This window comes from Homo sapiens, chromosome 12 (assembly GCF_000001405.40).
Source record: "Homo sapiens chromosome 12, GRCh38.p14 Primary Assembly".
Classification (NCBI taxonomy): domain Eukaryota; kingdom Metazoa; phylum Chordata; class Mammalia; order Primates; family Hominidae; genus Homo; species Homo sapiens.
In genome coordinates, this window is record NC_000012.12 from 95,056,750 (window position 1) to 95,084,658 (window position 27,909).

Genomic DNA, 27,909 nt, shown 5'->3' on the forward strand with positions numbered 1-27,909 from the left:
CGATCGAGACCATCCTGGCTAACAAGGTGAAACCCCGTCTCTACTAAAAATACAAAAAAATTAGCTGGGTGTGGTGGCAGGTGCCTGTAGTCCCAGCTATTCAGGAGGCTGAGGCAGGAGAATGGCGGGAACCCGGGAAGCGGAGCTTGCAGTGAGCCGAGACTGTGCCACTGCACTCTAGCCTCGGCAACAGAGTGAGACTCCATCTCAAAAAAAAAAAAAAAAAGACTTTTACACCTATAATAAATGTCTTACTGAGGACTCGTATTTCAAGATGAGGGAAGAGTACGTGTTTGTTGCTTTCATGTTGAAGGGATAATCATCCTAGTGAAATTATGAACATTTCTGATTTTTTTTTTTTTTTTTTTTTTTGAGACAGAGTTTCGCTCTTGTTGCCCAGGCGGGAGTGCAATGGCACTATCTCGGCTCACTGCAACCTCCACCTACCGGGTTCAAGCGATTCTCCTGCCTCAGCCTCCCGAGTAGCTGGGATTACAGGCATGCGCCACCACGCCCAGTTAATTTTTCCATTTTTACTGGAGACGGGGTTTCTCCATGTTGGTCAGGCTGGTCTTGAACTTCTGACCTCAAGCGATCCATGTGCCTCGGCCTCCCAAAGTGCTGGGATTACAGATGTGAGCCACTGTGCCCAGCCGAACATTTCTAATTTATATTAAAAAAAAAAAGGCAACTTGTAATATGGAATATTTAAGAACAAAGCAATTTACCAAAGCAAAGGAAGTGATTAGAAAACATTTTAAAATGCTTAAAATTATCTAAGCTTTAAATTGTACTAAACACACCTTATCTGATGTCATCAGCACAGCTGACTCAGTTTTTACTCCAGATGGATGAATATTCATGAACATTCCTGAATCTAACAGTCCTGTTGACCTGTAACAAATCAGCACAAATTTTGGCCTGAGTTTCATTGGGAAGAAAAACAAAATGACCAGCTACTCAGTGTCTGTTTTACTTTACCTTGTACTTTCACTATCTGTTACAAAAGTTGGAGTTGCAGTTAATGGGCTACGAAGGTCCTTTCGGATATAGATTTTTTCTGTTGAAGCGGCACAGTTGGAAGATTTTTCTCGTGATACTTCAATGGGTTTTCTTTCACATTGGACAGCTACAAAAATGTGTTAAACTATTATATCACAATATAGGATTTACAGACAATTAGAAATGTAAGCTGTAGGTAAGCTTAATGCTGCTAATAGGAGACATGGCTACCATACTAAACTCCAAAGATAACCATCAATCTTTAGAAATTATGTGCAAGTTCAACAAAGTTGCTTTAGATTAGTAAAACAAACCAATTTGCATCTCTCATTCTTTTTGCCAAACACAAACTACAAATACGTGCTTTTTACACAGGTATTCAATAAATATTAGTTGAATAAATAAAAAAGTACATACGTAGGTCTGTATTCTTATATTTTTAGTTGGAAAACTGTAAACTAAAAAGTATACATATTTGACATATTTTGTTAATTTCAATACTCTTGTAGTTTGCTGGAATCTTTAAAAAGTATTTTCTCCTTAAAAGCTAATACATACAGTCTTGCTTCATTCCAAACGCAATACATCTCTGTAACCTGCAGTATTGACAGCGGTTTCGGTGGTGCTTATTAATAATACAATCCTTTGATCCTCGACATGAATATACTAAATTTTTTCGGATGCTTCTTTTAAAAAATCCTTTGCAGCCTTCACAAGTTACTGCTCCATAATGACGTCCTAGAGAGAAAATGTTTAAGAAAATATAAAAGTCACATTATTTCAGAACAGAAATGACATAAGCCAATTTCTTCCCTTTAAACAACATATAAGATGAAACTGATTTTTGAGCTTCTGACATGAAAAACATTTTTAGAAGTTATTTTTATTTATCATAACTTTTTTAGAGACGGGATCTCGCTCTGTGGCCCAGGCTGAAGTGTAATGGTGCGATCACAGTTCACTGCAGTCTCGAACTACTGGACTCAAGGGATATCCCCAACTAGCTGGGACTACAGGCTTGCGCCACCACACCCGACCAGTTTTATTATTATTTTTTTTTGTAGAGGCAGTCTTGCCATTTTGCCCAGGCTGGTCTTGAACTCCTGGCCTCAAGCGATCCTCCTGCCTCCACTCCCAAAGTGCTGGGATTACAGGCATGAGCCATCTCACCTGGCCTAATGTAATATATTATTAAAGATCAGAAGTCATTATTTTTAAATGATTCCTTTGCCAAAATTTCTAGTTTTCACATTAAAAAATGTTTCTACAGCTGGGCGTGGTAACTCACGCCTGTAATCCTAGCACTTTGGGAGGCCAAGGCAGGTGGATCACTTGAGGTCAGGAGTTCAAGACCAGCATGGCCAACATGGCAAAAGCCCGTCTCTACTGAAAATACAAAAATTAGCAGGGCATGGTGGCACACGCCTGTAGTCCCAGCTACTCAGAAGGCCGAGGCAGGAGAATTGCTTGAACCCAGGAGGCAGAGGTTGCAGTGAGCCGAGATTGCACCACTGCACTACAGTCAGGGTGACAGCGCAAGACTCCATCTCAAAAAAAAAAAAAATTTTTTTTTTACATGTTCACTTTCAAAAGTGAAATATGCATTTTATTTCATTACAAATCATATTAAATTGCACTGAAGTTAAAAAATATAAGTGAATAAAGAACTTTGGGACCGGGCATGGGGGCTTACACCTGTAATCCCAGCACTTTGGGAGGCCAAGGAGGGGAGGGTGGATCACCTGAGGTCACGAGTTTGAGACCAGCCTGGCCAACATGGTGAAACTCCATTTCCAATAAAAATACAAAAATTAGCCATGCGTGCTGGCATGCACCTTAGCCCCAGCTCCTTGGGAGGCCGAGGCAGGAGAATTTCTTGAATCCAGGAGGTAGAGGCTGCAGTGAGCTGAGATCACGCCACTGCATTCCAGCCGGAGCAACAGTGAGACTCTATATCACAAACAAAGAACTCTGGGAAAAAATTAGTTAAATGTTATAGGCTACAAATATGAACCATAAAAACGACATACTCCTTTATTTCTCTTCTTACTTTTAGTAGAAGAAACATGGTAGTGTGGTAGTTATTTCAACAACACGACACATATAGGAGGTTATTTTTTTTTTCTGTTTTTAGGAGGTTATTCTTAATGTTACCTGATGCTTTGTCTCCACATACTACGCAAAGATCAAAAACCTTATTTGGTCCTTGGTCTGGAGAATTATCTGTTAGGAGCTAAAAAAAAAAAAAAAAAAAAAGAAAACAAAAACGAAAACCTGTTGTTACTCAACAGCACTCATTCTATTAAAAAAATTAAAGAACATTCAGTTGGTCTTGCTTTGTTGCTTTCTTTTTCACAAGTTATTTTTAAACTTTGTACTCTATGAAGAGCTCAGAACCTTTCCACATGTAATGACGACAAAAATAAGCTTATAATGGCATAAAGAGATAACTCTAAACCTTTTAAATAGAAAAGGGGCTATAAATAAATTTCCTTGAGGTAATTATAATCATGCAGATGTGCTCGCTATACAAAGGTATGGACTTAAAAAGCTCATCACTAGGCACAGCTAATAAGATACTGGCAAAGGAAACTAGTTTCTTCTTTAAAAAACAAAAAAAGGCTGGGTGCGGTGGCTCACGCCTGTAATCCCAGCACTTTGGGAGGCTGAGGCGGGCAGATCACCTGAGGTCAGAAGTTCAAGACCAGCCTGGCCTACGTGGTGAAACCCTGTCTGTACTAAAAATACAAAAAATTAGCTGGGTGTGGTGGAGAGTGCCTGTAATCCCAGCTACTTGGGAGGCTGAGGCAGGAGAATCGCTTGAACCCAGGCGGCAGAGGTTGCAGTGAGCCGAGACTGCACCACTGCACTTTGGCCTGGGAGACAGAACGAGACTCCATCTCAAAAACAAAACAAAACAAAACAAAAAACAGCAAACTAGTTTCTTCCTTTAGGTTTATCTTTCAACCTTTTCATCATTTTCTTTCAATCTTGAAATGTGAACAAATAAATTCAATTAAAGAAAATGGAATGGCATTTGAATTCCTCCAGGAATACTTCTGATTTTATGAACTTTAAATGGTTCTTAAAATGACTGCCCCTTACTATGTAATATATAGCATCATTTCTTCTTATATCACCACAAAAATCAGTCTTCAGTAAGTACTTAAGCTTCTGGTACTAGATGTCCTATGAAAGCATCTATGGCAAGTATTACTCTTTAATAGCCTACCTGTTGCAAATGGTGCTAATCTTTTATCTATTATTCCTAAGTCTGGAAGGAGATATTGAGAGATTAAGGGATTTACCCACATTCATGAGAAAAACATCAGACCAAGTCCAATAGTGGCACATCCTACAATATACCTGGCCAGTACTCCTCACGTAATTGTCAAGGTCATCAAAAACAAGGAAAGTCTGAGAAACTGTCCTAGCCAAGAGAAGCCTCAGGAGACATGTCAACTCAATGCAATAAGGTATCCTGGATGGGATCCTGGGACAAACAAAGCCATTAGGCAAAAACTAAGGAAAGTCTAAACACCTATAAACTTCAGTTAACAATGTATCAGTATTGCTCATTAATTATATCATGAATGTAAAATGTTAATAATAGGGGAACTGTGTGTATTTACGGGGGAGTAATATGGGAACTCTGTTCTATATGCTCAGTTTTTCTGCAAATCTAAAACTATTCTAAAATATCAAGTCTACTACTTAAAGAAAAATTAAGGTACATATAATGTTATACATTTTTTTGTGACTTTTGTCTTGTTGATAAAACAACTTCTTATAAATCTGTGACTGTATCCACTTTCTACCTTTATTTCCAAAACTAATACAAATATCATTGGATGAATAGATGATATCAGGATATACAGACAAAATTTCGTGTTTTATGAATTCAGAGTTTTTCAATCCAAAGAGGAATTTTCTTTCGTGAGTTTTTCATCATAAAAGATAGAACCCAATTTTAAGTAGACCCCCTTCAAAAAGTTTCTGAAGGCAAACTTCAGAGTACATTATATTTGTATTCAATCATAGCAACCAGCAGTGAAAACATCGACATAACCACAGGCATGTGGTGTATAAAAGTTTTTGAGTCTTTGAAGAATAATGTGTAATTTTCTATTCTAGCGAAAACTAAAATGATGTAATGTTAACATATACTACTTCATTCCAGAGTAAAGCAGGAGCCCATGACTGCACTGCTTGCTATTTCATGAAGATGTGCATGACAACAAAGGAGGCACAATGTTGAAGCCAGCAGCTATAGTCCAAACTTCTTGATTTGGCAGCTTCCTGTTTGTAGCACAGGCAGCTTGGTTCTGGAAAATACAGCTACAAAAGCTGCTCCTGATTTGACAATTTCCTAATTATGAAGTAGGAGGTCTCTTAGAAGCCAGTTTTGCAGCATGCTCCAATAGTCGATCTTGAAAACCTGGCCTAGAACTGTTTCTTCAACCTTCCTAACAATTCTGCAAGCTCTCTGTATCCTTTATTAAAGGCTGTTGTCCTGGCTACAATAGCCAGAGTGGATCTTACTGTATGCAACAAAGAATCCCCAAAATATATGAGTGTGAGGAAAGTACAGTGGCCCATAGGAGAGGGCTGTCACTGTAGATACTGTGTTACACATAATTTTATGCATTTTTTTCCTACTGAATATACATAGATCTAAAGTCTTCATGGCAGGGCTTATGATTAAAATTTTTTTTTTATATATGTAAGAGGAAAAGACACTTCTATAGTTATTTACCTGCAGGTGTTGTGCAGACAGATCAGGAGTGGTAAAAAATAACTGGTTGACACCTGCTGCATCTGGAGTTGTAAGGAAAACTTTTCCCGGAGTGGAATCTTGCCTGGCCAGAATGACTTTGCTTGGAGTAGAGCCGTCGTGATTTGTCAGAATGAACTGCTTGCCTTGGGTATTATGATCAAGTGCTGTCACAATCTGGATTTTCTGCCCAGTTTGCTGCTCTGTAACAATCTAACAAAATCATGAAAAATAATCAATGAAACTCAATAATTTTTCTTTAATGACACAATTATCTTCTTAGAAAAGCACATTACATATATATTCAATATAACACACACGTACCTTTTAAACTACCGATTCTATTGCCACAAAATTCTATCCTACAGAAATAAACAAATGTGCAAACAAAGGTACAATAGTAAGAACATTTTGACCTCACTATTTTGATTCCCTCCTTCCCCTTCCCTCCCATGTTCCATTTAGACAAACATATATTGGGTGATTTATATTAGCTGTTCTGCATACTGGGATGTAGCAGTGAATAAAACAAAACTTTTGCCTTCATGAAGCTTTTATTTTAGTGGGGAAAGACAGATAATAAATAAGCAAATAATAATATTGTCATGCGGTACTAAATGCTATGAAGAAAAACAAGGCAAGGTGAGACAGTAACAGAATGAGGGCAATGAGGGAAGCTCACGCTAAGGAGGTGTCATTTTTGCAAAGGCCTGAGTGAAGAAACAGACCAAGGCTTAGGACTACCTAGGGGAAGAACATTCCAGGTAGAGGAAACAGAGCATATAAGTAGGTCCCAGGGCAGGAGGGAGGTGTTTGACACATGTGAGGCACAAGGCACAGCAATAGAGATATATGATGAGTAAGACAGAAGGGAAGACAGGGATTACAGTAGAATATGGGATCTGAGTGACAGCTGGGACTCAGAGGGCTTTGTAGGCCAAACAAAAGTCTAGATTTCCTAATGTGTGAAATGGAGAGCCACCAAAGGGTTTGGAGCAGAGGAGTGACAGGATTTTATTTTTTAAAAAGGAATCAGACAGGCACAGTGACATTATCTATAATCCCAGCTACTTGGGAGGCTGAGGCAGGAGAATCACTTGAGGCCAGGAGTTCGAGACCAGACTGGGCAACACAGTGAGACCCTGTCTCAAAAAAAAAAAAGAAGTATAAAAAAAGCATTCTAAATTTAGTGTGAAGAACAGACTGCAAATGTTCAAGAGTAGGCCGGGTGCAGTGGCTCACGCCCATAATCCCAGCACTTTGGGAGGCTGAGGCAGGTGGATCCCTTGAGGTCAGGAGTTCAAGCCCAGCCTGGCCAAAATGACGAAACCCTGTCTCTACTAAAATATAAAAATTAGCTGGGCATGGTGGCGGGTGCCTGTAATCCCAGCAACTGGGGAGGCTGAGACAGGAGAATCGCTTGAACCCTGGAGGCGGAGGTTGCAGTGAGCTGGGATTACACCACTACACTCCAGCCTGGGCGACAGAGGACTCTGCCTCAAAAAAAAAAAAAAAAAAAAGGGGATGGACACAGTGGCTCATGCCTATAACCCCAGCACTTTGGGAGGCCGAGGCGGGCAACTCATGAGGTCAGGAGATTGAGACCAACCTAGCTAACACAGTGAAATCCCGTCTCTACTAAAAATACAAAAAATTAGCTGGGCATGGTGGCATGTGCCTGTAATCCGAGCTATGTGGGAGGCTGAGGCAGGAGAATCACTTGAACCAGGGAGGCGGAGGTTGCAGTGAGCTGAGATCGCGCCAATGCACTCCAGCCTGGGTGACACAGTGAGAGTCTGTCTCAAAAAAAAAAAAAAAAAAAAGTTCAGAAGTAAAATTAAGGGAGATCAGAAAGGACACTACTGCAGGTACCATCAATATCTGGTTATGACATATGGGCAGAAATACTGACCAGGAACAGGGTAGCAGCCATGCTGGGGGTGAAAAACAATTAAATTGGGATTTACTTACTTATTTATATATTATTTATTTATTTTAAGAAGAGAGAAGTAACAAAATAATGCTGATAGACTGAAGGGGAATATGAAGAAAGAAGAGTCAAGGATGATTATAAAATTTTGGCTTGAGCAATTGGGAGGACAGAACTGCCATCTGCCATCTGGGGGGGAGGAACAAGTTCATGAATACACAGAACTATTTCAGCATTGAGAGTTTCTGTTATTCAGCAAATATATCCCAGATTAAACATCATTAAGCCAATTAAATTCCTTGATTCAATTTTAAAATGGCAAAGTCCGTTTGTTTCTAATTTTCCAAAATTCCAATCCTGTTCCTTCTGTACCAAATTTTTTCTATTTTTATTTTCCTGAAATTATTTCAAGATTCTTTTCTATGCAAAATTTAAAACAAAGTTCTGATTCACTAATCAGTTTATGTCTAAAGCAAATTGTTTGGATAAAAGACTAATAGTTCATACTGACTTCTTAGAGAAGAGCATTTGGCGCATTCATGGTCCAACTGCTCCTGGGTTGAAACATTCTGCTTAAATGAGTAAAAGGACATTACTGCAGCATAATAATTGTAATAATTGAATATTTGGGCAATCCAAAGAGCCTTCAATAGAGAAGAGTAGTAAATTATGTAAACAGTTCTTAGCTTTTAGGACTCTTTATATTCTAAAATATTACTGAGGGTTCCAAAGAGCTTTTTTTTTGAGATGGAGTTTTACTCTTGTTGCCCAGGCTGGAGTGCAGTGGTGCGATCTCGGCTCACTGCAACCTCTGCCTCCCAGGTTCAAGCGATTCTCCTGCCTCAGCCTCCTGAGTAGCTGGGATTACAGGCGCCCGCCACCCCACCTGTCTAATTTTTTGTATTTTAGTAGAGATGGGGTTTTCTGCATGTGAGTTAGAAATTCAAAGAGAAATTTTAAAAATAGTTGATTCATTTAAAAATTAACAACCCATTAAATGTTAACATAATTTTTTTAAATTTATTTTTAATTTTCGTGGGTACATAGGTGTGTATTATCTTTGGGGTACGTGAGATGTTTTGATACAGGCAGGCAATACATAATAATCACATGGAAAACAGGGCATCCATCCCCTCAAGCATTTATCCTGTATGCTATAAACAATCCAATTATACTCTTTTAGTTATTTTAAAATGCATAATTAAATTATTATTGACTGGGCGCAGGGGCTCACACCTGTAATCCCAGCACTTTGGGAGGCTGAGGTGGGCGGATCATGAGGTCAGGAGTTTGAGACCAGCCTGAGCAACAAGCTGAAACCCCATCTCTATTAAAAATACAAAATTTAGCTGGGCGTGGTGGCAGGCACCTGTAATCCCAGCTACTCAGGAGGCTGAGGCAGGAGAATCCATTGAACCAGGGAGGCGGAGGTTGCAGTGAGCCAAGACAGCGCCACTACACTCCAGCCTGGACAACAGAGCGAGACTTTGTCTCAAAAAAAAAAAAAAAAATTATTGACTATAGTCCCTCTGTTGTGCTATCAAATACTAGGTCTAATTCATTCATCCTATTTTTTTGTACCCATTATAACCTATTTCTTAATGACTAAAAAGTTTATTTTCCAAACAAACAAAAATGTAGTGCAGAGAGTGGCTTTGTTTTACATTTCTACAAATTGCTTTAATATCTAGTTTAACAGAAGTTGGAATCTCATATCTGTTTCTTTATTTAATCTGTTAGACTATGTTGTTTTGGTTATAACAAGGCTGGGCACAGCACCTCACGCCTGTAATCCCAGCGCTTTGGAAGGCCAAGGCCAGTGAACTGCTTGAGCCCAGGAGCTCCAGACCAGCCTGGGCAACATGACAAAACCCTGTTGCTACAAAATATATAAAACATCAGCCAGGCACGTGAGCACAAAAAATGGCCACAAAAAATCAGCCGGAAACCTATTTCTTCACCATATATATACATATACATACATACATATATGTATATATGTTAAAGAAAATTCAGCTTCGTATTTATTGGTTGAAAAGGGGAAGGATATTTTAATACCCTTTTCAAACTGTGAAAGTTGTTCGACACTACATCAACTCAACAAGTGGCAGCTTTTCAAAGGTTAGCAGCAATGTAGAGTCATAAACTATATTAAAATCTGTTGGTCTATCCTGCAATTTAAATGGATCCTTCACTCATGCATAATTTTGTAACATTATACACTGGTCATCCGGAAAGCAATGATTCATTGAGTTATGTACACCTTATAAATGCTGACACATTTCATCATATAGTATCATCACATGTCACACAGTCTGTAGAAAATTCCATTGTATACCTGGGAGAGAACAATACTGAAAAGGCAAATAACATTTCAGTATTATTATAAAAATGGTCTTCACCTGGTTGATTCTCTGAAGTGTCCCCAGATAATACTTTGAGAACTTCCAAATTATGTGGTATCTCTTACTAAGTAATAGGACACAACCATTTAAAAAAATGAAGATGTCAGTATTGATGCTGAACTCCTACTGATCCCACCAAAACTAGGCTCAGATTGTACCCTCTAAAAAGAATTCCCTCAAAAGCATTCCTACTCACTCTACAGCTCTTTAATTTCTTTCCTTCCTTCCTTCCCTTCATTCCTTTCAATTTTCTTCTGTGCTCCCATTGCACCTGATACAATGACCTGTCACAGAACTTACCACATTCTACTATGAATTGTCTGATTATTCAACTATCTCTCAGTAGCTTGAAAAGCTATCTTAAGTTAGGGAATATCTTTTATTTCTGGAACTCCAGAACCTGGTATATGCATTTAGTAGGAATTAGAAAAGTTTGGTGGGCCAGTGCATCAACCGTAAACTAGACATACCTCTCCCATCTGTTGTTCAATAATTTGATGTGCAATTTCTTCTATGGTTGCCATGATCTACCTGCCAAAAATAAAAAGATGTTTTATAATTAAACTCACAAAACACTCTTATTAAATAATTTACAAATAAAACTATATGATATTTAAGATTTGCTTCAAAATAATCTAGTTAAGGTGGGAGGGTTGGCTTTTTCTGAAGTTTCTTTTTTCCATTCATGGGTTGCCTTTTCCATGTGTCTTTTTTATTTTTTTTTTTTTTAAAACAAGGCCCACCCAGGCTGGAGTGTAGGGGGCACCATCACGGCTCACTGCAGTCTCAACCTCCTGGGCTCAAGTGATCCTCCCACCTCAGCCTCCTGAGTAGCTGGAACTACAGGTATACACCACCACACCTGGCTAATTTTTTATTTTTTGTACAGATGGGGTCTCACTGTGTTGCCCAGGCTGGCCTCAAACTCCTGGGCTCAAGCAATCTTCCTGTCTCGACCTCCCAAGTGTTGGTATTGGAATTATCAGCATAAGCCACCATGCCCACCCCTCCATGTATCTTTTTTTTTTTTTTTTTTTTGAGATGGAGTCTTGCTCTGTCACCCAGGTTGGAGTGCAGTGGCATGATCTTGGCTCACTGCAAGCTCCACTTCCTGGGTTCATGCCATTCTCCTGCCTCAGCCTCCCAAGTAGCTGGGACTAGGCACCTGCCACCACGCCAGCTAATTTTTTTGTATTTTTAGTAGAGACAGGGTTTCACTGTGTTAGCCAGGATGGCCTTGATCTCCTGACCTCGTGATCTGCCTGCCTCGGCCTCCCAAAGTGCTGGGATTACAGGCGTGAGCCACTGCACCCGGCCCCAGCCCTCCATGTATCTTTATATGTTTATACGGTCTTCCCTCTGAGTGTCTGTGTCCTCTTCATAGAAGGACATCAGTTATTTTGGATTACGGTACACTCTAATGAACTAATTTTAACTCAATTATCTCTTTTAAGGCCTTATCTCCAATATACTCAATTCTGAGGTACTGGTGGTCAGGACATCACCATAGGAATTTGGGATTCATATGATTTTGTGGGAGAACCGAATTCAGCCCATAACACTCAGGCATAAACCCAATAAGGAACATGCAAGATCTAGGTAGGCAAATAAAACTTTAAAATGCTGCCTAAAGACAAGAAAATCTACACTTGGACCGGCCCCGGTGGCTCACATCTGTATTCCTAGCACTATGGGAGGCCAAGGTGGGCTGATTACCGGAGATCAGGAGTTTGAGACTAGCCTGGCCAACATGGTGAAACGCCATCTCTACTAAAAATACAAAATTAGCCAGGTGTGGTGGTACATGCCTGTAATCCCAGCTACTCAGGAGGCTGAGGCAGTAGAATTACTTGAACCTGGGAGGCGGAGGTTGCGGTGAGCCGAGATTGCACCATTGCACTCCAGTCTGGGCCACAAGAGTGAAATTCTGTCTCATAAAAAAAAAAAAAAAAATTAGCCAGGCATGGTGGCGGGTGCCCGTAATCCCAGCTACTCAGGAGACTGAGGCAGAAGAATCCCATAAACTTGGAAGGCAGAGGCTGTGGTGAGCCAAGATCGTGCCACTGCACTCCAGCCTGGGTGACAGAGAGAGACTCTGTCTCAAAAGAAAAAAAAAGAAAAAGAAAAACTACATCTTAAAAGGACACATAAGAAAGAAAATGGATCCAATAAGTACCTCCAAGGAAAGAAACTGCAAGTTTGGAAACAGGAATGGAAGGGAGACTTATTTTTCATTGAATAAGTGTTTGATGCTTTTAAATTTTGCTTAAATACAAGGATTACCACAAAAATTAAAGTAATAAACAAATAAGAAATCTCTTCCAGAAATCCTAAAATCAACACCAGTGTATTGGTGCATTAGACTCAAAGAAGTCACCTCCTAATGAAAACTTAGGGAGATAAACTATTTGTTTATCTGAATGAATTCCAGGGACTCATTAGATCAATATATAGTCATGTACTGCACAATGTTTTAGTCAATGAATGAGACTGCATATACAATAGCGGTACCACAAGTTTACACCCATAACACTGTATTTTTACTACACCTCTTCCACGTTTAGATTTGTTACTTACATAAATACTACTGTGTTAAAACTGCCTACAGTACTCACTAAAGTAACATGCTGTGTGGGTTTGTAAATTAAGAGCAACAGGCTATGCTGTATAGCCTATGTGTATGGTAAGTTATACCATTTAGTTTTGTGTAAGTATGCTCTATGATGTTCATCTGTGATAAAATCACTTAGGGATGCTTTTCTCAGAACACATCCCCATAACATATGACTATATTTTCCAAGACTAAATTTAACTCCGAAGATAAGGCAACACACACATTCCTTTTTTTCCCCCATAATTTTGTGACTGGATGACTGAAAAAAAATGCTTTTAAACATTAATCCATCCATCCATGCATCTATGCATCCATGCATGCATCCATCCATCCATCCAACACTCACTGCTGCTACTGCATGGGGATTCTCAACCTTATAAAAAAAAAGCAACTCTCCCTTTCCCTAACTACACCTTTCAGTTGATTGAGTCCCTGATGTCTTCCAGGATCTATGCCTGACCCTGGGATAGGATAATAAAGATGGTCTCTACCCTGAAGAGATGAGAAAGAAGTAGGTAAGTAATGGTGTAAGTTAAGGCTGCTCTGATAGCAGTGTCTGTTTTCTTCCCATTCTTCCCAACTTCAAATAGGATCCAGCCTGATAAACTGGCCTTGAGTAGCCAATACAAAAGTAAAATTTACAAGTTTTTTTTGTTTTTTGTTTTTTGTTTTTTTGAGACAGAATCTTGCTCTGTCACCTAGGCTGGAGTGCAGTGGTGCAATCTCGGCTCACTACAACCTCTGCCTCCCAGGTTCAAGCAATTCTCCTGCCTCAGCCTCCCGAGTAGCTGGGATTACAGGCATGCACCACCATGCCCAGGTACTTTTTGTATTTTTAGTAGAGAAAGGGTTTCACCATGTTGGCCAGGCTGGTCTCGAATTCTTGATCTCAAGTGATCCGCCCACCTCAGCCTCACAAAGTGTGGGGATTACAGGTATGAGCCACCACACCTAGCCAACACACACATTCTTTATACACTGTTGGTGGAAGGTTAGACTGTTTTAACCTTCCTAGAAAAGTAATTTGCCAATGTATACCAAGAGCCTTAAAAATGTTCATATTGACTGGCTCAAAAATTTATTCAATTTTCTTCCATTCAACAAATCACTTGTTGAATGCTTACTAGGGGCCAGGCATTCACAGAACGACTTATCCTTATTCTCCAGCTTCAGACCATCAGTGCTGCTTTAATGGCAAGGGAACAAAGTTTTAACCCCTTCCCTTGGTATTCATTCAATATTTATTATGCATTCACAAGGTGCCTGGCACTGTGAACACCACAATGGAGAGTTCTTTTATAATCCGACTTCCCCCTATTCTCATTTCCTATCACTCCCAAGAGGGGCCTCTGTTCAGGTCAAACTACGATGTTCTTTATTCCCCCAACATATTCCTACTTTCTCCCTCATTTAAATTCCACCTGACTTTTAAGATTTGGTTCAAGCCAGGGGCGATGGCTCACGCCTGTAATCCCAGCACTTTGGGAGGCCAAGGCACGTGGATCACCTGAGGTCAAGAGTCCAAGACCAGCCTGGCCAACATGGTGAAACCCCATCTCTACGAAAAATACAAAAATTTAGCCGGGTGTGGTGGACGGCGCCTGTGATCCCAGCTATGCAGGAGGCTGAGGCAAGAGAATCGCTTGAACCTGGGAGGTGGAGGCTGCAGTGAGCCGAGATCGTGCCATTGCACTCCAGCTTGGGAAACAAGGGCAAAACTCCGTCTCAAAAAAAAAAAAAAAAAATTTTGATTCAAATAGTTTTTTACCCAGTCTTTCTTGAAGGGTCGAACAATTATTTTGTAGACTAAGGTTGTTAGCTAGGATTCAGAAATAGATTTCTGTTAACTCCTAATACTGTCTGTAAAATTTTATCTAAAGGTGCATTTTTCTAGACAAGTTCATAAAAGACTTCAAGAGGCTGTAGATGGTCTTGTCACTGAAAAACGGCAACGAATTATATTTATACTATTATTTATTGTATGCTGTTTTGTTTTTATTCCCCAAGAGTAGGGATTATACATTGTGTGGCAGACACACAGACGGTGTGTGTTTGGGGATGTTTGCTCCCTCAAAATCCTTCCTTAAGATGCGGTGCCTGTAATTCCAGCTACTCAACAGGCTGAGGCAGGAGGATAGCTTGAGGCCAGAGATCTGTCTGGATAACAAAATGAGGCCCCCCACCATTTCTATAAAACAAAACAAAAAAACCTTTCCTAGAAGAAACTAACATGCCCCTTGAAAAACTAAGATTAGCAACATTTCATAAAACCCACTTTTTTTTTTTTTTTTGAGACGGAGTTTCGCTCTTCTTGCCCAGGCTGGAGTGCAATGGCGCGATCTCAGCTCACTGCAACCTCCGCCTCCCGGGTTCAAGCAATTCTCCTGCCTCGGCCTCCGGAGTTGCTGGGATTACAGGTGTGCGCCACCACGCCCGACTAATTTTGTATTTTTAGTAGAAACGGGGTTTCTCCATGTTGGTCAGGCTGGTCTCGAACTCCCGACTTCAGATGATCCGCCCACCTCAGCCTCCCAAAGTGCTGGGATTACAGGTGTGAGCCACCGCGCCCAGCCGCGACCCACTTTTAATGATAGAAATACACATCGCTTTTTCAGATATACTAACTGGACTTAAAGCAAAGTTTAAAAACAATCATCGGCCGGGCGCGGTGGCTCACGCCTGTAATCCCAGTACTTTGGGAGGCCGAGGCGGGTGGATCAGAGGCGGGTACATCACGAGGTCAGAGTATCAAGACCATCCTGGCCAACATAGTGAAACCCCACCTCTACTAAAAATACAAAAAACAAAAACAAAAACAAAAACAAAAAAACTAGCTGGGTGTGGTGGCTCGTGTCTGTAATCCCAGCTACTCGGGAGGCTGAGACAGGAGAATCGCTTGAACCTGGAGGCGGAGGTTGCAGTGAGCCGAGATCGCGCCACCGCACTCCAGCTTGGCGACAGTGAGACTCCCTCTCCCTCTCAAAAAAAAAAAAAAAAAAAGAAAAAAAAATCGAGTATCACCAACCACACAGCAGAAATGGTTCAAAAAAGCTCAAAATCGAAGGTCCATTTACAAATTCTAGCGGTACTAAACCCTAAAGGCCGTAATTTTAGGTCTTTCTGCTTTTGCTTTCCGGTTACTTTTTTAAAGGCTGACCTACTTACTGAAGATTATGGGACAACCTGGCAACATTCGTACTGCACAAAAATGGTATCTGCCCGAGTTGGAAGAATTATTTCTTAACAAAAGAGCTATCTATCGGAAGCTTGGACATGCCCCCTGCAGTGAGAACCCTGGGGCCGTTCCATTTCTTCTGAAAAGATCCAGGCCCACAGGCAGCGACGACCCTGGCCAGATTTGCCGTGAGAGAAAAGTGAAAGTGGGGGGAGTCATTCTGTCCGTCCCGTGAAAGCACGGGAGTTAGTGACGGGATGCAGGCCGGGACTTGCGGCCACTAGCCGAGGGTCGGCCTCTCCCACGTCTCACTCGTGCCGGCGTTAGCCGTGCGCCCTGGAAGCCCCGGCGCTGCGCGCGGCTCTCCCGGGCGGGGAAAGCTGCAGCGCCGCGGAAGCTTTCCCTGCAGGTTAAAGGTCAGAGGCGCTGCGGTAAGCGCAGCTGGAAAGGGGGTTGTGTGCTCCAAGCCGCTCGCCGTCCGGCCCCGCGTCCCGCCGCCCCTGTCGCCCCCGCCTCTCCCGGGGCCCCGCGCATTTGGCGCCGCAGCTCCGCGCTCCCAGCCGAAGTCGAGCAGCCCCAAGCGGCGCTCCCAAACTGAACGGCTCCGCTGGCCGCAGGACGCCGGCCGGGGGATGCGCTGGGACCGCGTCCGTTGGCGGTTGGGGTGAAGGGCACCCCCTGGCCCCCGCCCCCGACGCGGTCGCTGGTGTCCCCACCCAGCGTTTCTTACCGGCGCTTTTGCGCCCTGCTGACTCCGGCGTCGGGCGCCGACGCGACAGTCCCGCGGCTGCCACTCGTGGATTGGGGGGCGCTCCGGGAAGAGAGGTTGAAGAAAGCCGACGGGATGTGGGATCGAGATTCACGGCGGAGAGAGCTTTCTGTGTTTGGGTATTTCTGGGGGGTCAGAGTTCGTGACCTCTTTCTCGGCTCGGCGGCGCGCTATCCCGCCAGCGCCTGCGCATTAGCAACGGGGAGAAGCGGCGAGAGGAGGTCGTGACGTTCCCAGGGTGGGGTGGAGGGATCGGAGGGCCGAGCAGCGGCTCTGTGAGTCCACTGCCCCCTTTTGGCTTGGAGGCAGAGTGCCCCGCCAGAGCTACGCGTTCCCAGCCAGGTAATTTTTGAAGCCACGTGCAAAGGTTTAAGCATCGTTTGCCAAAGGTGGGCATTAGGGGAGGTTTTGAGTCAACGTTTTAGATTTGAGTAATAAATAACCCTCTGGGTCTTAGGCATATCTGTTTCTAATTTCTGGAAAACTGGGCTCTGGGGTAGAGTCCAATCATATTTAAACTTTTTTTTTTTTGTATTACACTTTAAGTTCTAGAGTACATGTACACAACGTGCAGGTTCGTTACATATGTATACATGTGCCATGTTGGTGTGCTGCACCCATTAACTCGTCATTTACATTAGTAAGCTTTATATATAATGACAAGCTGAGGCCGACTCATGCAAATGGTAAGGCAAAGTTTCACTTATAAACTGTTGTGAGTAAAGAGACATAATGGCTAAACAGGGCAAGAATATAATCACTAGAGACTGGGCACGGTAGCTCACGCCTGTAATCCCAGCAAGTTGGGAGGCCGAGGCGGACGGATCACTTGAGCCCGGTTGTTTGAGGCCAGCCTGGCCAACATGGCGAAAACCCGTCTCTACAAAAAAATTAGCCAGTCCTGGTGGCGCGTGCCTGTCGTCCCAATTACTTGGAGGCTGAGGTGGGAGGATCACCTGAGTCAAGACGGCAGTGAGCCAAGATCACACCACCGCACTCCAGCCTGGGTGACACAATGAGTCTTTCTCTCTCTCTCTATATATACACACACACATATATATGTATATTCCACATCCTCTCTATAATATATATATTATTATATATTGAGGATTATCCTCAATGGCCGTTTTTTGTCTGTTTTGCTCAGTGATGTATTACCAAGCACATAGGACAATGCCTGCTATTCAATAATGATGTATGAAATGAAAGCCAGGCAAGTGGCTGCTGGGAGGCCAAGGAAAGATCACTTGGGGCCAGCAGTTGGAGACCGGCTTGGGCAAGATAACAAAACCCTGCCTCCACAAAAAAAATTTTTCAAATTGTGAAATGAAGAGACATTGGTGGAACATCGCATTCTGACAGTGGCCACCTGTAGTGGCAAGGTGTGGCAGGAATAACTGCCCTGTGTGCAAAGTACTCTGCGCTTTAGATTTTGAAGCATTCTTGAAATTTCTAGTTTTTTTTTAAATCTCCTTTGTTTTGTCATGAAATTTCTATTTTATCTAGCTTAGGTCGGCACTGTAGGAAAGCAGCCACAAACTCAGGGCAGAAATCCAAGGAAGGAAAAACAAACGTTTGCTGGGAATGAGAACATCTCTGTTATTTCTCTCTGGAACTAGGCAGACGGACAGAGATCAAGGCATGAAACAATCCCTAACAAGTAAAAATATGCTTTATCCCTCATTAAAAATCCACCTCTGCTGAGCACAGTGGCTTCTGCCCCCAGAGCCTTGGGAGGCTGAGGTAGGAGGCTTGCTTGATGCCAGGAGTTTGAGACCAGCCTGGGCAACATAGTGAGACTCCATCTCTTAAAAAAAAAAGAAAAAAAAAAGGCATGGTGGTGCAGGCCTGTATTCCTAGTTACTGAGGAGGCTGAGGTGGGAGGATTGCTTAAGCCCAGGAGTCTGGTCCAGTGTTGGCACCATTGCATTCCAGCCTGGGCGAGAGTGAAACTTTTTTTTTTTTCCAACCTCTACCTTTTAGCATTATTTGTTGTGTATTTGGTTTGGTTTTAAGGGAGACCCCTGCCAATACCATAAGCTGGTCCCAAAGGTGAAAATTATGAAAGTATAGTCACGTCAGGGATATGTTCTGAGAAATGAGTCCTTAGGCAATTTCATTTTACTCTCATCATAGAGCGTACTTATACAAACCTAGATGGTCTAGCCTAGACACACCTAGGCTGTATGTTGTAGTCTGTTGCTCTTAAGTCACAAACCTAGGACAAACCCGTACAGCATGTTACTGAATACTGTAGGCAGTTGTAACATAATGGTAGGTATTTGTGTATCTAAATATATATAAACATAGAAAAAGTAAACTAAGTCCTTTTAAAAAAAAAGTGCAGTAAAAATAGGGGATTATAATCTTATGCAACCATTATTGTATATGTGGTCTGTCCTTGACTGAAATATTGTTATGCAGTGCATGACTGCACTATAGGCCTAATGGATACAGGCAATCTGAGACCTCTTCACTATTCTTGGTGGAGAATATGTATGCCTATAGTGATGCTTGTGGTTACCCCTTATCACCCAATTAATTCACTTAAGTCACAATAAGTTGACTTGTTAAAACTTGGAAGTAGAAGCCATTTTAGGAACATCATTTGTAGGTGAAGAAGCGTTTCCATTAATTATGCTTCAGGAAAAGAGGTAAATGAAGTTTATTTATTTTTGAGACAGAGTCTCACTCTGTTGCCCAGGCTGGAGTGCAGTGGCTTGATCTCAGCTCACTGCAACCTCCGCCACCTGGGTTCAAGAGGTTCTTGTGCCTCAGCCTCCCGAGTAGCTGGGATTACAGGCGCACACCACAATGTCTGGCTAAGCTTTTTGTATTTTTAGTAGAGACAGGGTTTCACCATGTTGGCCAGGCTGGTCTCGAACTCCTCACCTCAAGTGATCCGCTCGCCTTGGCCTCCCCAAAGTGCTGGGATTACAGGCATGAGCCACCGTGCCCAGCCGAAGTTCATCTTTAAATGTGTGACTCTAGCCGAAGTTCATCTTTAAATCTATGATGCTGGCCAGGCTCAGTAGCTCACGCCTGTAATCCTAGCACTTGGGGAGGTTGAGGCGGGTGGATCACCTGAGGTCAGAGTTTGAGACCAGCCTGGCCAACATGGTGAAATCCCGTCTCTACTAAAAATACAAAAAATTAGCCGGGCATGGTGGTGCGCACCTGTCATCCCAGCTCCTCAGGAGGCTGAGGCAGGAGAATTGCTTGAACCCAGGAAGTGAAGATTGCAATGAGCCGAGATCGCGCCACTGCACTCCAGCCTGGGCGACAGAGCAAGACTCTGTCTTGAGGGGGAAAAAAATCACACCAACAAAATATATTATAGTAAATTTATTTTGTATAAATACATATTAACATTATTTACAATGCTAATTTTTTTATTTATAAAGTATATATGGACAAAAAGATACAAACTGTTATCATTTTAAGTACAAAGTATTTCTAGAAATACATTATAAGCCATTAAAAAAAAAACGATATTTCAAGATTGGTTCTTACATGCTATGACCAACTCATATGAAAGAGCAAGTTGCTCCCCCTTCATTCCTTCCCCCAACTCCAAAGGGAAAGGAATTTGATATTTAGGCTTTAAAAAATTTCCTACTACCTTTATCTTTTAAAAAACCCTACTCAAAACAACTATCTCTTATAAGGGAAAATATCATAGATAAGATTTTCCTTTAGAAAATGACATTAAAAGTGGCATGAGCCCTAGAATGATATGTGTATTAGAGGCACTTAAAAAAAATCAGAAGGGATCCATAGGAAGGAATTTAATTCAGCAAATACTGAGTGTCCACTGCATGCAAGGTACCCTGCCAGAAATCTCAAATGAGTAAGTTGTCCTTAGGGATAGAAGGTGCTAAGCATCATGCAAAAGATATGAACTGAAGGCTGTGTCGGGGCTGCAGGAAGGAGACAGGATCTAGTCTGGAGGAATAGGGGAGAGAAAGACTAAGGGTCAGCTATCACAGAGAAGTCTTGGATAAACAGAGATGCGGATGGGTCAATGAGGAAGGAAAAGGAAACTGTGTGAACAAAGAAAGGTTGGGTAAGAGTTAGCTGGAATGTATGGCAACTGAGGACGTGTTCCATGCCAAGTCACTGGGAAAGCCACTGAGGCATGTAAAAGTGGGGATGAAACTAGATTAGAGCTATGTTGTTGGAAGACTGCTCTGGCCGTGTTTAAAATGGGATCACACAACGGCATTGGAATTAGAAGTTATTGCAATAATGGGAACAAGTAACAAGGACTTGAACCAGGGCCTATGTAATAACAGCAGGGCAATGAGGATGGAAAGGATACTTGAGTAATTGCAGAGTCTTGTTGAGAGTTAGAGGCAGATTCTGGAGTCTCAAATGGTATCTTTCTCTTACAGAAGAAAATAAACAGATTTGAATGGGAAGGAAGTTGAGTTTTATTCATGTAAAGTCTGAGATGCTTGAGGACTCATATAGATAGCCAATAGGTAGTTACAGATGTAGCTTTGCAGGATAGTGGAGAAAGTAGGTCTAAGGTCCAGGTTATAATGTGGATATTTTCAGGCTGTGTTGGAGTTGTAGATGACAAGAATCCTGTTTTCAATTGAACAAATATTTTCTCTTTAAAGACCCTCCTAGGAAGCCAGGCCTGGTGGTGCATGCCCCTGTAGTCCCAGCTACTCCAGAGGCTGAGGTGGGAGGATTGCTTAAGCCCAGGCATTTGAGTTCAGCATGGGAAACATAGCGAGACCCGGTCTCTTAAAAACTAAAAAGACCTAGGGCAGTATTATGGAAGACAGTGATATATTAAGTACAGTATCTGCCTTCAAGGAGTGTGTGGTACACTAAGAAAAACAATATGTATCTCTGGAAATCCCATTGACTACATTTGACTAAAGTGGATTTCAAACTTTTCAAAAGCTGAGCACAATGGAAGCACACTCCAAAACATACCAACATATGCTGTGATATAACATTTACATTTTAACTAAATTACCAAATAGGAGACTTTCCCCACATCTAGATATATTCTATGAACCAAATATAAAATACACATTTGGCTGACAATTATACTTTAAAACTGTCGCCTTCTCTTTGTTGTGTCATTACAGCTTTCATGTGAATCAAGGGTTGGTCTGATGATCTCATTTTAAGAAATGCTACTACACACTCAAAGAATCAAGAATCTTGGGCAACCAAAATACAATAGGGGGATGCTGGGTACATTACAGAAAAAGGGAAAAGAGATTGGAAAGAGTCGGAAATGTGGATGATGCCAGAGATAATTACTCTCATTTTCTTAGGACTCTGATGGGTCCTGTACATTTATAGCTGCCACAGATAAAGGTGGACTGCTAGTTGGGGACACTAACAATGCCAGCCTTCCCCTGGTTCAGCCTGGCGTCTCATCTACGTTATGCTTAGCATCATTTTTAGCTTAGCTTTATAAATGCCCTACTCTTTCCTCCTTATGAATTAAAAGGAGATACCTGAAAAAGGGTTTGATGGAAGCACAGGCACACATATCTGTATAATAAATATAGTATCCTTGGAATCTAGATACTACTTAACTTTTCTCCCCATTTATAGACTGTGCCCAATATCATTTTTCCTCTAAAATACTAGCAAAATATATTTTTATAGCTTTTTTTACAATAAATTGCATATAATTAGGTTCTTAGTTGACAATGAATGAGCCAGGTTACATAAATAACAATTGGTCAGCTTTAGTAAGTTATGAAGGACTCATAAAGGGGCAGGGGAATGTAATACTATTCCACATTTAAAACATCTTTTTGGGAGAAGGATAATTGGATAGCTTCCACAAAGACTACACATTTTTCTAAACCCTCCATGGGGCTAAGCCAATAGGTAATACAGTCACATGCATTTTACATGTAATTAAAGAGACTGTAAGTTTGTGCCAGATTTCTTCCCTCTCTCACTCTCTTTAGATTTAGAACTGGCTCATGATTCAGCCAGGTCTTAGAAGATAGAATAGCCTGGCTGATATTTTTTAGATTATAAGGCTTAAGCCAAACCTTGTAGTCAGAAGGCTGAGAGCTCAAGAGGAGGGAAAGAAAACCCAAATAACTTGTCTTGCTAAATGCCAGACGCAGAAACAGTTTATAAGGTACAACTTTAGCCTCCAAAAAGGAATACACTAAAAACTGCAACGATTCTAACATGGAAGCCTTATTTATGTGATCTTGATTATATAAAATTGAGCTACAAAGAAATTTTAGTGTACCTGCTATGACAGAAAGGGGATGGCATGTTAGGATTGTGTATGAGGTTCAAATGACTCCATGGCAAAAAATCGCCACAAAAAACTATAGCAGCCAACTCTAGATCTAGTAGGGACTCTGGTGCTGTACCAAACAGCATTCAAAAGGCCCCAGAAAGGCACTCAGTAATCCTCATGGTTGCTGTTAAGGATCACACTGAATTAGGAAATCCTTTATTTAGAGGCAGAAAGGAAAATTCTTGTACCCTTTAAAGAAATATTATATGGATAACCTTGCTGTTCAATTTTTTTTTTTTTTTTTTTTTTGAGATGGAGTCTCGCTCTGTCATCCCAGGCTGGAGTGCAGTGGCACCATCTCGGCTCACTGCAACCTCTGCCTCCTGGGTTCAAGCGATGCTCCTGCCTCAGCCTGCTGAATAGCTAGGACTACAGCCATGTACCACCACGACCGGCTAATTCTTGTATTTTTAATAGAGATGGGGTTTCACCATATTGGCCAGGCTGGTCTCGATCTCCTGACCTCAGGTGGTCCAACGGCCTCGGCCTCCCAAAATGCTGAGATTGTAGGTGTGAGCCACCGCTCATGGCAGTTAAGATAATTTATAGTTTAAACTTAGTTAATAAATTGTGTATTGTGAACATCAGGGATGGCTTTTATCACAGTGTTATTTCATTTTCTTCTGCTAATCAACAATTGTATGTGCAAGGTAGTTCATATGTTAAACAGTAAGTGCACCAGAATTATGAATCTAAATCTTTCCTAAGGAGGTGTGCTGATAGCTGCTTATAGAGAAAGGATTTGTTGTTTTTTTTTTTAATTAGGAGGGAGGATATCACAAACTGGCAGAAAAAGACCTTTTGAAAATGAATACTATAGAATTTCAGTTATTACTGGCTTATAATTATGCTTTTCTGATATAGTAATTCCAGTTCCATTTGTAATGCACAATATTTTTGGAAATGTAACATTACTTATAGATACAAATATCATCATTGACTTGGGCTCAGAACTCTTATAATAGCAGGGAATATTATGTGACATAATGCTTGCTATATTTTGCTATTTTAAAAAATGATACATTTATGTTTGTTTCGAAGTGGTAGATTTTTTAAAAGATTGGACTTAAAAGCCGGAAGAGTTGGTTATTTGTGGTATTCTGCAAATAAAAACATCTTCATTCCTACTCACAGTTTTAAAAAATTCAGATTCTATCTCTTTGCTATAATTCTTTGATGATGTAATATTAACTCCTGCCAAAGAGGTACCTAACAACAGAAATACTTTAGATAATTTACTGAAATTTCAGTTCACAGTTACTGAGGTAGAAGCTGGCCATGTTTTTCCACTAAAAGATACAAATATTCACCCAAGTTTATTGATTCAAAGACATGCATTTTTTTCATCAGCAGTTTTATAATAATCACAATTCCTAAACCAAGCACTTTGTGGAAATTTGCTCCTTGCTATGTGTTTTTTCCTTACAAAGACTTTCCACCAGTAAGATTGTTACAATGTAAGGTAAGAAAACAGTGTGAACTATGTCACGAATAGTTAATACAGTATACAGTATTAAGATAGTTTTTCTGGTCTCTAAAGAAATGGTACTTTAGAATTCAGTGTGTCTCAGAAATAATTCTGACCATTAAGTAAACATCAAAATTTTAATAAATAACATAAATGAAAAAACAAACACCTTTTAAAAATTGCTTATACCTAACAAAACAATTTCTTTGATGAAGGGTCTGGTTGGCTTTATCTTGGCAGTGTTCATTTTTATACAATTTTTGAATTGCATTTACTCCATTCTGATGAAATTCCACCTCTTTGGAATCACAGAAGAGATGAAACCAATACTGCTACAATATTGTGCCTTCCTGAAATGCTTCTATCCACCTATTGATAAGAGAAATCGGTTAGATTTGTAAAACCTAATCATCTGACGTGTGAACACCATATAGATGACAGCTGGGCCTGTGGTCCTCATTACCATAACAACATAGGTAAGATATATATATATATGTATTTTTTTTTTTTTTTTGAGACAGAGTTTTGCTCTCGTTGCTCAGGCTGGAGTGCAATAGTGCTATCTCGGCTCACCACAATCTCTGCTTCCTGGGTTCAAGCGATTCCTCCCAAGTAGCTCGAATTACAGGCATGTGCCACCACACCTGGCTAATTTTGTATTTTTAGTAGAGACGGGGTTTTTCCATGTTGGTCAGGCTGGTCTTGGACTCCCGACCTCATGTGATCGGCCTGCCTCGGCCTCCCAAAGTGTTGGGATTACAGGCGTGAGCCACCGTGACCGGCCAGTAAGATCTTTTCTTGCAGCAAATTGGCCTTCTGCATACATGGAACTACCCTTTATTTGGTAATTTGGTCCAAAATTTAGCCTGGAAAGTGTGCCTCTCATTTCTGATAGGCATAAGGAAGGGACCATTTCATGTATAAAGGTTCTATGAAGTCTTGATGCTACCAATTAATTTATTTTGGAAGTTGATATTTCAGTGAAGGCTTTATTACAACTTCTTTTTTATCTGGAATTTGGACTCAGTGCTTTTAGGAACACTAGTTCCCTGTCTCCTCCTACCTTAACTCTAGCTATCAGAGTTTCCTTGTATATCCCCTAATCCAGACCTGTTTCAAGATTTGCAATTAAAAGGAATCTGGCATCTAGTGTTGATCAAAAGTTTGCATGCTGTATGAGAGCTTCTCGGCTGGGCGCCGTGGCTCATGCCTGTAATCCCAGTACTTTGGGAGGCTGAGTTGGGCAGATCACCTGAGGTCAGAAGTTCGAGACCAGCCTGGCCAATATGGTGAAACCCTGTCTCTACTAAAATACAAAAATTAGCTGGGCGTGGTGGTGTGCGCCTGTAATCCCAGCTACTTGGGAGGCTGAGGCAGGAGAATTGCTTGAACCCAGGAGGCAGAGGTTGCAGTGAGCTGAGACTGCGCCACTGAACTCCAGCCTGGGCAACAGAGCGAGACTGTCTCAAAAAAAAAAAAAAAAAAAGAGCTTCTCAAAGTTTCACAGACATCTTTCCAAAATTCTTTAGTCTCAAAGTTTTATCTGACAATATACACAGCTGCAATTATTCAGAAGATACTTGAGAGTAGTCTTTTTCCTCCCTACTAATGTAATTGCTTCTGAACTTTTTCTTCTTTCTTATGGAAATATCATTTCTTACGGTATTATTTTATGTAGGCTGGGCATGGTGGCTCACACCTGTAATTCCAGCACTTTGAGAGGCTGAGATAGGTGGACTGCTTGAGCCCAGGAGTTTCAGACCAGCCTGGGCAACATTGCTAGACTCTGTCTCCATTAAAAAAAAAAAAAAAAAAAAAAAAAAAAATATATATATATATATATACACACACATACACACACACACACACACACACAGAAGAGAGTCCAGAGAACTATGAACACTTGAAATCACTCAGTTTAATTATTTTGTAAAAGCAACCTATAACAGATTCAGTTCAAATTTTAAGGAATTTTCAAAAATTTAATATTGAACATAAATAGCATGTTATACTGCCATAGCAAGGCTTTTTTCCCACTAAAATTAATACATTTTAATATTCTGTCATGTACTTCAAAAAGCAATCCATATGATATTAATAAAGAGAAATTTATAATTTAGCCTGGGTCAATTCTAAATTATAAGTAAACTGACTTCCTTTACCTAACTACATGTAATTCTGTCTTGGTGGCATTTCTATCTTGTCAACTCAATGATATAAGCAAAAGATGACATATATTGAAAAGCAGTACTTTTTTTCAGTTTGATGAAAATTGTAAGAAAGCTAATATCTGACAATATTAGGGCAATTACTATTTTGTCTAAATAATTTTTATAGAAAAGATGGTTAAGTGACATAATTTAAAAATATTCTCCAGTAGCCAAAGGAAAATATTTGGAAGAATAGCTATATACTGTTGGATATCCTAAAATAGACTGAAAAAAGAGTCTTACAGAGTGTGTGTAACATTGTGCCTGGCTGGTATTCAGGGATGTGTGCAATTCTGGTACATTAATCTTAACTGTCTTAAGAAACTAAAAGCTTTGCTCACTCAAAGCATTCTTTTTTATTTTCATGCACTTTTAAGCTTGTGGAGAACACATGAACACCTCTTCCTGAAAACAAAAATGTATTCTTTTGTGAAGCCAAGGTAAAAATCAAATGAGAGATGATGAACTATTTTGTTCAAAAGAGACCTAATTTCACAGAGGTAGATACGCATCTCTATGTTAAGCAAACTGATAACATCTAAGTAAAGATTCTTGCTGGAATTCTGAGGAGACTGTTTCAGCCTTTGCCATCTAAACTGATAGCCATTTCCTTCTACTCAGTCACTGGAACAGCATGGGAGTCTCTTAATGTGTTTGACCTTTTCCCCAAAGAAGTTAGCGAGCAGCTGTTTAAACTCCTGCTGTTCCATGGCACAAATGAATCGCTGGATTGCCAAAGTCCTGGAATGTTTCAAGGGAAGATTCTTACCCTCATAGAAGGAGAGGTCAAATGCCTTAGCTTTCCTTCCTTTCAGCAGAGCAGCATCACGCTGCTTCCTCTGAGATCACGTGTAGATAAAATACTTTGTATAGGACTACCTATTTTCTTTTCCCCTCTGCCTCCTGAAAATATTCCAGATACCCCTGCCTTGTCTTTAAAACAATTCTGAAGAGTTTAAATAATACGTTAAATCTTTCTAATTAAAATCTCTGATGTAAATTTTGAGTTGTCCCCATGCCTTAAAGTAGGTCATTTTACAAGCAACCATTAAAAAACTGAAATCTCATGAATAAAAGAAAAATATGGCCAGATTACTTACTTCTGAGCCGAATGAGCATCCTCTGCTTTGAATACATAAAATAACATGTTTTTGTGCAGTAACTGAAATACTTTAGACTCGGAATTCTCATCTTTAACTTGAATAACAGTGAATCCTAATAAAGGCTGACTCTCCAAAGCGGCCACGTCCTAATTTAAAAA

The 27,909-nt window shown here is 40.8% G+C and overlaps 2 protein-coding genes across 14 annotated transcripts in view, besides 4 other annotated features; both read right to left on the bottom strand.

Annotated features, from left to right (window-relative positions):
- NR2C1 (nuclear receptor subfamily 2 group C member 1) overlaps nucleotides 1–16,869 on the bottom strand; it is a 53,390-nt gene extending 36,521 nt beyond the window's left edge. For 12 of the 13 annotated variants that reach the window (XM_047429495.1, XM_011538717.3, XM_006719584.3 and 9 more), the window contains exons 1-7: nucleotides 16,631–16,869; nucleotides 10,582–10,642; nucleotides 5,759–5,989; nucleotides 3,157–3,235; nucleotides 1,561–1,740; nucleotides 982–1,129; nucleotides 804–894 (exon numbers count right to left, since the gene is read on the bottom strand). In XM_047429495.1, the coding sequence (XP_047285451.1) occupies nucleotides 804–894; nucleotides 982–1,129; nucleotides 1,561–1,740; nucleotides 3,157–3,235; nucleotides 5,759–5,989; nucleotides 10,582–10,635 (783 nt within the window). In that variant the 5' untranslated portion in view covers nucleotides 10,636–10,642; nucleotides 16,631–16,869. Of the gene's footprint in view, nucleotides 1–803; nucleotides 895–981; nucleotides 1,130–1,560; nucleotides 1,741–3,156; nucleotides 3,236–5,758; nucleotides 5,990–6,100; nucleotides 6,139–10,581; nucleotides 10,643–16,630 lie in introns of all 13 variants that reach the window. The other variant, XM_006719585.3, reaches the window with a different exon arrangement.
- Nucleotides 16,287–16,566: a silencer, noted in NCBI's record as "silent region_4736". NCBI's record gives its function as "represses an Ori minimal core promoter by ATAC-STARR-seq in GM12878 lymphoblastoid cells {active_cell/tissue: GM12878}" and the evidence as "EXISTENCE:reporter gene assay evidence [ECO:0000049][PMID:35858748]".
- Nucleotides 16,287–16,966: a biological region, named in NCBI's record as "H3K27ac hESC enhancer GRCh37_chr12:95466981-95467481".
- Nucleotides 16,456–16,956: an enhancer, noted in NCBI's record as "H3K27ac hESC enhancer chr12:95466981-95467481 (GRCh37/hg19 assembly coordinates)". NCBI's record gives its function as "activates a minimal SCP1, AML or CMV promoter by ChIP-STARR-seq in primed H9 embryonic stem cells {active_cell/tissue: H9 hESC(primed)}" and the evidence as "EXISTENCE:reporter gene assay evidence [ECO:0000049][PMID:30033119]".
- Nucleotides 16,647–16,966: an enhancer, noted in NCBI's record as "active region_6805". NCBI's record gives its function as "activates an Ori minimal core promoter by ATAC-STARR-seq in GM12878 lymphoblastoid cells {active_cell/tissue: GM12878}" and the evidence as "EXISTENCE:reporter gene assay evidence [ECO:0000049][PMID:35858748]".
- FGD6 (FYVE, RhoGEF and PH domain containing 6) overlaps nucleotides 20,000–27,909 on the bottom strand; it is a 140,719-nt gene continuing 132,809 nt past the window's right edge. Inside the window, exons 20-21 of the mRNA NM_018351.4 lie at nucleotides 27,749–27,897; nucleotides 20,000–24,807 (exon numbers count right to left, since the gene is read on the bottom strand). Coding sequence (NP_060821.3) covers nucleotides 24,771–24,807; nucleotides 27,749–27,897 — 186 coding nt within the window. The 3' untranslated portion in view covers nucleotides 20,000–24,770. The remainder of the gene's footprint in view (nucleotides 24,808–27,748; nucleotides 27,898–27,909) is intronic.